At 32.6% G+C, this 11036-nt stretch overlaps 1 annotated feature.

Moving 5' to 3' along the window:
• Window positions 10753-10922: an enhancer, noted in NCBI's record as "experimental_75113 CRE fragment used in MPRA reporter constructs". NCBI's record gives its function as "activates a minimal promoter by MPRAs in K562 erythroleukemia cells, with activity observed for both the introgressed and non-introgressed 4:161838627 variant alleles {active_cell/tissue: K562}" and the evidence as "EXISTENCE:reporter gene assay evidence [ECO:0000049][PMID:34662402]".

Raw genomic sequence — 11036 nt, forward strand, 5'->3', positions numbered from 1 at the left:
AAGTGTAGCAATAATTTGCTGTCAGTGTTGACTTTTTCAATGAATAAACTGAAAAATTATATTTTTTAGAGTAAATAAATATTTTTAAGCAACTTCCTTTTGAAATCCATATTGTTTCTATTTGTAGGCTAAAGCACAAATACTTTTCTTTGAACTTGTTTCATGGCCGATAAGAAAATTTATTGTTTGAGAAATTACTATTAATATATTACTTGCATTGATATTAATTTGTTGTATTATGATTCTTAGTATCTAAAGTTGCTGATAAATTATGTAATGAACATTTAAAACACCTGATATATTTTTGGGTGATGGCCAACATCCATGCTGCTGACAACCATAACTGCTATTTGTTCTAATGCACAATTAATGACATTAGAAAAATAAATATATTTTCAATAAATAAGAAGTTTTGCTAACTGACTCATTTGAATCACTTTCATAAATGCTGGAATTTTCTTCATAAGTTTTTATTTTTCAGGAATATTACAGATTTGAGTAGACAGTCATTATTATCATGCAGTATGATTTCATCTACTTATGAAAATTCACTTCACTGCAGTTCATTACACAGCTGATTTTCAGCATTTTCTTCATTCTATTGATTCTTCAGGAAACCATATCATTGTCCAGTGGACAATGGAATAGAATAAATTATTTCATTTGGATTTTCTTCCATTACCATACTAATAATGTATTGTGCAAGTAGTATGATTAATTAGTTTTTAATATTATGTGGCTTACAAACTTTTTTCATCATTTATCTTATTTGACAAAAAAATGACAATGCCATGAGATTTCTATCATGATTAAAAGACTTTTTAATTGTAGAAAAGGAAAATATCCTTTTAATATTTCTGATAAATATCAGAAATAATACATATGTAATATTTTAAACGCTAATTTATTTATAAAATGTTCACTTAGCCTTTATGCATTGATTTTAACAGTAGTAGAGAATATGTATCAGCAGAGTAAGACATTAGTACATCACTTGGATGTATAGCTTTAAAGTTAAATTCCAAGGACTAAAATTAAGCTTTTGCCACTCTTACTCCACCTACTCAAGCTTTTACACTTTGTTACAAGACAAACAAGAAATATATAAATGATCCAGTGTGAACGCTAAAATACTACAGCTACACATGCATATGAAATACAATTTTGCTGTATTGGGTACTAAAATACCACAGTTGACTGCCATAGGTAACGCTGTTTCTGCAAAATAGGAGCTAATTCTTTTTTTTTTTTTTTTTTTTCCTTGAGATGGAGTCTTTCTCTGTCGCCCAGACTGGAGTGCAGTGGCGTGATCTCGGCTCACTGCAAGCTCTGCCTCCCGGGTTCACGCCATTCTCCTGCCTCAGCCTCCCGAGTACCTGGGACTATAGGCGCCCGCCACCACGCCCAGATAATTTTTTGTATTTTTAGTAGAGATGGGGTTTCACCATGTTAACCAGGATGGTCTCGATCTCCTGACTTCGTGATCTGCCTGCCTCGGCCCCCCGAAGTGTTGGGATTACAGGCGTGAGCCACCCCACCCGGCCACAAACTTTTTTCACCATTTATCTTATTTGACAAAAACATGACAATGCCAAGAGATTTCTATCATGATTAAAAAACTTTTTAATTGTAGAAGAGGAAAATACTGCTTTAATATTTCTGATAAATATCAGAAATAATACATATGTAATATTTTAAAAGCTAATTTATTTATAAAATGTTCACTTAGCCTTTATGCATTGATTTTAACAGTGATAGAGAATACGTATCAGCAGAGTAAGACATTAGTGCATCACTTGGATGTATAGCTTTAAAGTTAAATTCCAAGGACTAAAATTAAGCTTTTGCCACTCTTAATCCAACCACTCAAGCTTTTACACTTTGTTACAAGACAAAAAGAAATATATAAATGATCCAGTGTGAATGCTAAAATACTGCAGCTACACATGCATATGAAATACAATTTTGCTGTATTGAGTACTAAAATATCACAGGTGATTGCCATAGGTAATGCTGTTTCTGCAAAGTAGGAGCTAGTTCTTATAATTTTTTTTTTTTTTTTTTGAGACAGAGTCTTGCTCTTGTTGCCCAGGCTGGAGTGCAGTGGCGTGATCTCGGCTCACTGTAACCTCTGCCTCCCGGGTTCAAGCGATTCTTCTGCCTCAGCCTCCTGAGTAGGTGGGATTATAGGCGTCCACCACCACGTGCTGCTAATTTTTGTATTTTTAGTAGAAACGAGGTTTCACCATGTTGGCCAGGCTGGTCTCGAACTCCTGACCTCAGGTGATCCGCCCAGCTCTGCCTCCCAAAGTGCTGGGATTACAGGCATGAGCCACTGTGCCTGGCTAGCCTTCTTAAAACTGACACCAATAGCAATAAATCTGGCTTTATCATATGATGGTAGAACAGTATTTGTAGATTCCATTATGGCTACCCTTTACTGTTCCTAAATACTTTTTCTTTCCATAAAACATTTTTAAAGACAAAGACCTTTACTGTTCCTACTTTTTCTTTCCATGAAATATTTTTAAAGACAAATAAGTTTGCAAACTTATTTCTCAATATTTACCTTTCAATTAGTATTGTACAGGGACTGATAGTTACAAAATTGTATTAGTTTTTACTTGCCAAACAGTATATTTGAAGTTTCATTAATTTGTTTGAAAACCAGATAAACTTGTTTTCAGTTTCTAATTTTTATTTTTGTCCCACATTGCTAATCTGAACTAAATAATTAAATTTAAAATGAATATACATAGTCCAATCTAATGAAAAAGGTATGGATAAAAATGTAGTTATTTTGTTATGGACTCTAAAACCCTTCCATATAAGTAGCAATCTTGCTACTGGTGAAAAGAGATGGGGTGGATTCACGACCATGGAAACTGCTGAGAAGGAAAGATTCAATTTCACTACAAGAGTACAAAGTTTCAGAAACAAGTTTCTTTTAAATTAAAATAATGTTTGCACTGCTTAATAATTGATTTCTTGACAGGAGAGTCAACTCTATTCTCATTATGCATAAAGCAGGCAAGGAGATTGCACAGGCAGTGTTTCTATTTCCTTCATGTGACTTCTGGAATTAGCTCAAGGTTCACAAGTGAATAAAAATAAACTTTTTAATGAATACTGTAATTCTTTATTAGGCTTGTTAATGATTACTGGCCCTTCTGATTTTGACAAGGGGGTAATTTTTATTGGTCTAGTTGGCTAATAGACCTTTGCCTTTGGTGATGTTCTTGTCACACTCTCTTGCATGCTTCCTAGAAAATAACAATTAAATTTAATAGAATATTTATCATTATTTCAAAGCTGTAACCTTTTTTGTACTATACAACTGCTAAGATCTGAATGCAATATTTGCATTTAAATTAATTCAAAAGGATTAAATGGCAGTTTGTAAAGCACAATGAAGTAAATATAGAGATATACCTGACTTAATAAAATAGCTATTATTTATGTAGCCATTTATGCATTTCAAATACTGTTGAAATATTGCCTTACTTTAACTCTTTACCAAAAAGGAAATATTAAGCCCAATTTAAAATTTACAAAACTGAGTTAACAGAAGTTATATATGTATGCATATATATATACACATACACACATATTATATATATGTAGAATAATATAAAAATTTTGACTATTATTTTAACCTAGTAAATTTCACATGGTTTAGCTGGTGAGTGACTGAGGCATGCTTGGCACTCTGATCTTTCTGCTTTCAAGGCACTGCTCACCACATCGTGGCCTCTACTTCTCCCTGGCAATGTCTCCAGTGAAAACAGAAAATTTTGTGTTATGTTATAGTTTAGATTTACCAGGAAAGCTAGATCTAAAAAATGTGGAGTGGACTTTGTTTGTCATGTAAACATACATATGCTTTAAGAGAACTTAAATTAAGCTTTTGGTGGTAATTTTTCTAAAGGTATAGGTATGCAACAAAAGCCAAAATTGACAAATGGGATCGAATTATACTAAAGAGCTTCTGCACAGCAAAATAAACTACCCTCGGAGTGAACAGGCAACCTACAGAATGGGAAATAATTTTTGCAATCTACTCATCTGACAAAGGGCTAATATCCAGTTATCTACAAAGAACTTAAACAAATTTACAAGAAAAAAACAAACAACCCCATCAAAAAGTGGGCAAAGGATATGAACAGACATTTCTGAAAAGAAGACATTTGTGCATCCAACAGACACATGAAAAAATGCTCATCATCACTGGCCATCAGATAAATGCAAATCAAAACCACAATGACATACCATCTCACACCAGTTAGAATGATGATCATTAAAAAGTCAGGAAACAACAGATGCTGGAGAGGTTGTGGAGAAATAGGAACACTTTTACACTGTTGGTGGGACTATAAACTAGTTCAACCATTGTGGAAGACAGGGTGGCGATTCCTCAAGGATCTAGAATTAGAAATATCATTTGACCCAGCCATCCCATTGCTGGGTATATACCCAAAGGATTATAAATCATGCTGCTATAAAGACACATGAACACGTATGTTCATTGCAGCACTATTCACAATAGCAAAGACTTCGAACCAACCCAAATGTCCATCAATGATAGACTGGATTAAGAAAATGTGGCACATATACCCCATGGAATACTATGCATCCATAAAAAATGATGAGTTCATGTCCTTTGTAAGGACATGGATGAAGCTGGAAACCATCATTCTCAGCAAACTATCGCAAGGACAAAAAAATCAAACACCGCATGTTCTCACTCATAGGTGGGAATTGAACAATGAGAACACTTGGACACAGGAAGGGGAACATCACACACTGGGGTCTGCAGTGGGGTGGTGGGGGGAGGGATAGCATTAGGAGATATACCTAATGTAAATGACCAGTTAATGGGTGCAGCACACGAACATGGCACATGTATACATATGTAACAAACCTGCACGTTGTGCACATGTACCCTAGAACTTAAAGTATAATAATAAAAAATAAATTAAAAAAAGGTATAGCTTAAAGCTGCCTGATCCATCTCTTATATAAATTTCTATCTTTGTAATGCTATTAAGTTTTAATATCTTTACCTTTAGAAAGGAAACACAACACATAATAAGTATGAACTGATTAAATTCCACTTGTTAAGACAGCTGAAGAACACAGAAATTATATCTCCGATTCTTGCTTAGATGTAATTGTTCAGATATGAGACAATTAACTTATTCAGGTCTAAGGAACTCACGTAGAAAGAAACCTGGAAGAACACATGAAAACTTTTATGTGACTTTTCATAAATAACTCATTATTATATATCTAGTAATTCTGGGGAAAATAAAGAATTGAGATATATCCAGATAACTTAAAATTTCATCCAGCTCTAAATTTGGTGACTCAGTCCAGTTCAACAAAATTTAATGATTAGGATTACATGTGAGCACAGTGGTCCAGTTATTGCAGAATAATACAAAATCAAGGACAAGATTCCAATCTGCATGGGTTTCAATTAACATGATGCCATTCAAAATATTTAAAATATTTGAGATAACATGGCCATGCTGGTATGTAACTTTTAGCTAGCACATTATTCTTTAAGGTTAGGAGGCTTACAAATTCTTCCCTAACAATGTACAAAAACAGTGTTAGATAAGTTTTATGAATATTCTGAAGCACTCATAATGACAGTAATGGCTGAATTAACTTAAAATATGTTAATTTCATGATTATAATAGCTAATGCTATGATCTCGACATAATCACATTATTTAATTTTTAGAGCACACTTAGAATTAGTTACGTTTTGTATGTCCATTATACAGTCAAAGGAACAAATTATACTTGCACAGATTCCCTGCACTAGTTGCTGGCGAACTGAGCACTTTGAAGCACCTGGCTTCAAATTCCAAGTTCCTGAGCCTCAGGAATCACTGCTTTTTGTATAGATACTGTGATTTCTTCTATGTGAGAACTACTGTGGAAAGCAGAAAGCATGAGTTTTAAAATTACTTTATCCTATGTTGAATCTCACATTTGAAATTTACTGTGATTTAGAAAACTATCAGTTAAACTGTTTGAGAGAGCTCTGTTATCTCCTAGCGATTCTCTAAGCATGGCTCCCACCACGCAGCACATTGCAATCTCACTATAAACATTCATTTTGTTCCTTTCACTCTATAATGAAAAGTAAGGTATTTTAAATGTACTTCTGGAAGTATCCACTGAAGTATCATAATTCAGAAATAGGTGGAAAGTAATTATTAAGGTAATCACAAACTTTATTAAAGAAATGCATTTGTATTCATTTGAATATATATTTTAATTTGAGCTGGATAGTAGATAAGGTTTCCTAGTAGGAATTTGTTCAGATACAGTATCAAATTAGTACTATATGTCAGCACTATATATATATATGTATATATGTATATATGTGTATATATGTATATATGTGTATATATAAACATATTAACTCATACTATTTTTAATTTTTATGTAAATAATACATATATATAAATCATTCACAGGTATGGAACAATACTTGGGAGTTGCTAATTTATAGAGTAAAGGTCTCTAATATTATACATACATTGTGCAGTTGCTTTTAGGATATATGTTTTTTCAACAGTCTCCAGATAAAGCATATCTAAACTCTCTAAAAATTTCAAAAAGAGGTGAAATTCCAATATATTAATTTTGCTGTAAAAGAAACCACAATGTTAGCTCACGTATCTTTAATTTATCATATCCTTCTATGCCTTAAGTTGTAGGCAGAATACAGAAAATATAAATGTTTTCATGCTAGAAGCCTCTTACAATTATGGTATTGAAATTAGTCTTTTGTTAATGAAGTAACTGCTGGGGTCAAGATTATTATTGAATGAGTCATGAATTTATAAAAATATCAAGACGAATTTGAATTGTTCTTTATCTCTCAGAAGCTAAGTGGGTGAGACAAATGGTCAGTTCCTTGGAGAAGGAGAGATCTTCAGTAAAATGTGGTGAATTATGAGAGTAACACAGGAACAAAGAACATACTAAAATTCAGAGGCCAGTCAATGAGTCCAGTTGAGGTAGTCCTGGAAGGTCGAATTGCGGAGGGGTGTTATTTACCTGTGTAGTAAGCCAGAGATCACATAGTCAATAGATTGCACATAGATTTAGGTAGTTCTATTTCTGGTGATGCCTGATTAATGTTCTTAAAGAATCAAACAGAGCTAAATATTTGAGAAAAATAATATTTACATTATGAGTTGATGCACTACATTAATTATAGAAAAATATAGTGTTTATCTTTGGAAGTTGTGGCTTGTTACTCTTTTTTTGTTGTTTTGAGACAGAGTTTTGCCTGTCACCCATTCTTTAATGTTGCCTAAGTTTTTTGTATTTTTAGTAGAGATGGGGTTTCACCATGTTGGCCAGGCTAATCTTGAACTCCTGACCTCATGATCCACCTCAGCCTCCCAAAGTGCCACTGCGCCTGGCCGGCTTGTTACTTTCTTCCGATCTTTAACATTTGCATTTTTCTCTGCTGTATTGTTCAAACATCTTCACTTTGTACTGCAGAACACAAGATGCTATGAGTATACATTTCTACTTTTTAAGATTATATACAATGACCTATAATATGTGATCTTATTCCTCTTTCTGTGACTTCAAAGAATCTCTCTCCTTCTCCCTCTTAGATTCTCTTCAGTATTTTTTATTATTCCCATTGCTGACTCCCTCTCGCCACTGCCATTGCTTTTGTCTAGGCATAATGTTATGATGTTTTATTTCAATAGCTTCCTTTCTGAACTTCCATCTTTCATTCTAAACCATTTTGAAACCATGTTTCATGCTTTTTTAAAAGCTGCAAATCCAATCACACCATCAGTGCTTTTAGGAATTACATTAATTGTCTTTTTTATTTAATTCAAAATATTCTGTATCACTTACCTCTTTTTTTTTTTTTAAATCCCTCTCTATTTTCCTTGATCAGCTATGGACAATTCTATTTATACTTCCCTCAGTTAAAGCATATTTATCTCTGCATGTTTTTCTTCTTGTTATTGTTTTTGCCTGAAATGGCCTCAATCTTCTCACTTTCGTTTTTTACTTAAATAATTTTTCTTTTACTATATGCTGCAAATGGCTTCTTCTCTATGAAAGCTTTTAATCCCAAGTCTTATTTGGATGTTTTTTGCCAATCATTTTTATCAGATTCAGCATGATGCTTCATTAGCAGATGCTGTGATTAAGAATACTCCCAATGATACCAAATAATATGAGACATTTCAAGTTCTATACATTTACCTATTTTTAATTAAACATTTCATTTTAAAATAACAGTGGATCCACATGCAGTTGTAAGAATAAATACAAAGAGACAAACATTTTATCCAATTTATTTTAATAATAGCATCTTACAAAACTATGGCAGAGATCTCAGCTAGAATATTGGCTTTGATCTTATTCAGATTTGTGCAGTTTTACATGTACAAATTTAAGTATGTGTGTTTATATTTAGTTCCATTTTTATCAAATGGAGTTTTATCAAATTTTATTAAAACTGGACATTTGGATATACCCCACCTTGAAAATACAGAGAATAATTTCATCACTACTAGGATATCTGATGTTACTCTTTTATAAAAGTGCACCCACTTCTTCCCCACCCTTATTTTCATCCGTATCACTTGCCAACCAATAATCATTTTTACATTTTATTTTTTTCATCTGAAAATGTTACAAAATGAATGAATGGAAAGACAAAATGTGATGTGTATATACAATAAAATATTAGCCTTAAGAAAGAATTAAATCAATGACAAATTTAGCAACATGGATTAAGTCTGAGGACATTATGTCAAGAGAAATAACTTCATCACAAAAGAAAAAATATTGGGATTCCATTTATATGAGGTATCTAGAGGAGTCAAATACATAAAGACAGAAAACAGAATAGTGGTTGCCACAGGCTGGAGGAAGCAAGAATAAAGAATTCATCCTTAATAAGTACACAATTTCAGATGGGGAAGAGGAAAAAGTTTTGAAGATGAATGGGGCTCATGATAGCACAATAATGTAATGTACTTAGTGCTACAGAACTGCTTAAAAATGCTATTTTTATGTTGTGTATATTTAACCACAATAAAAATGTCACATAAATGAAATTATGCAGTATGTTACCTATTGATAATAGGTTTTTTTCAATTAGCCTAAACCTGTGGAGAGTCATTCAAGTTTTTGTGTGTATTAAAAGTTTATTTCTTGTTAATCTATTTTGGTTTTTTTTTTTCATCTATTTGTGTTTCCTTTCACCAGCACCACATTGCCTTTCTTACTACAGCTGTATAGTAAGCTTTGAAGTTGGATAATGTCAGTCTTCTGGCTTTATTTTTCTACTTTGATAGTGTATTGACTATTCTGGGTCTTTTGCATTTCCATATAAACATTAAAATAAGTTTGTCAGTATGCTAACAAATAAATTGGTCATATTTTGATTTAGAAGGCACTGATTCTATAGATCAAGTTGGGAACAGCAGATATCTTAATAATATTGAATCTTTCTATCCATGAACATGGAATAGCTCTGTAATTACTTTGTTCTTTGATTTCTTTTATCAGAGAATTTTTGTTAGCTTTCCTCATAGAAATTTCATACTACATTTTTTCTAAAATTTTAAAGTGCTAACGGTTTCGACATATTCCATAAAAACTTAAACCTATTTTGCGTTAATAAGTAAAATCTGAGACTTAATTCAAGATATGGTTCTTCTATTTTTATCTATCTATCTATCTATCTATCTATCATCTATCTATCTATCTATCTATCTATCTATCTATCTATCTATCTATCTATCTATCATCTATGTATCTATCTATCAGGCCTATGAATGTACATGTAATGTGTAGCATTGCTAAAAATGAAAAATAGCAGATATAAGAAAGTATTAGATTGATTACACAAATATGTTTGGAATTGGTTGCTCCAGAACCAATTGTCAAAAAGGTTATCATACCTACATTGAACTGCTTTGGCACATTTATTCAAAAATTAGTTGTACCTGTTTGTTTGATTTTGTTTTGGGGGTTATCTATTCTGTTTTTTAATCTATGTGTCTATCCCTACATTAACACCATATTAACTTAATTATTTTAGCTAGATATTATGACTTATTATTGAGTGGAGTGATTCTTTCCACTATATATTTATTTTACAAGATTACATTCAGTATTGCATTGTTCATATCTTCCAATATAAATTTTAAAATAATCTTTTCTATGTCTACAAAAAACCCTTATTGACATTTTCATATAGATTTTTTAAAAAATATATGTACAAATTTGAGGAATATTAATGTCATGGGGTATGGGCGGGGGCTTTCTACAGCTTGGTAGGGAGTCAAAAGACCCCAGGTTTGATTCAGCTTCTGCCACTGCTTGGAAGGCCTAGAGGCAGTTATCCCAGATGACTTCTGCCATTGGGTGGAGGTTTAGAAAATGCCTAGAGTGATCTTGTTTTGTGTTTAAGTTGAGGACCGTAAGTCACTGTGTCTGAGTGGCTCGCTGTTGTTATGTGGGAACTTGGGAGGTGCAAACTCTATATGGCTTTCAGCTGCTTGGTGGAGGCCCAGGAAACACAAGACCTGTCATGTTGATGTTTCTTTCTTATCAAAAACACCTTTCTGTACTCTTATTTCTGTCTACAATTAAACATAACATTTAAGACACTTTACTCTTGGTAGAAGCCAAGACTGAAGGAAGAATATATTTATTTAGATGAAGTTATGAGTATTAACCCTGGTAACATTTTTGGTTATGTTTGTTGTCATTTTTTATGCTGTCTTTTGTCTTTACTTGGAGGATATTTCTTTGAACTGTGAGCCCAGTTTTACCATGATAGTTGTATTATTTAGTTCATTCATTTCACTTACTCATGCCTTTCATGCAGATATCCATGGAAATTAATAAAGAAACACAATAAAAATATGCTGTTGACATACCCAAAGTCTTCTGAAGGACAGTGAAAATTTCAACTTTAAAGAATATGAAAATAGGATAAATAAGCATAGAGAAAATCCAATA

This window comes from Homo sapiens, chromosome 4 (genome assembly GCF_000001405.40).
Source record: "Homo sapiens chromosome 4, GRCh38.p14 Primary Assembly".
NCBI lineage: Eukaryota > Metazoa > Chordata > Mammalia > Primates > Hominidae > Homo > Homo sapiens.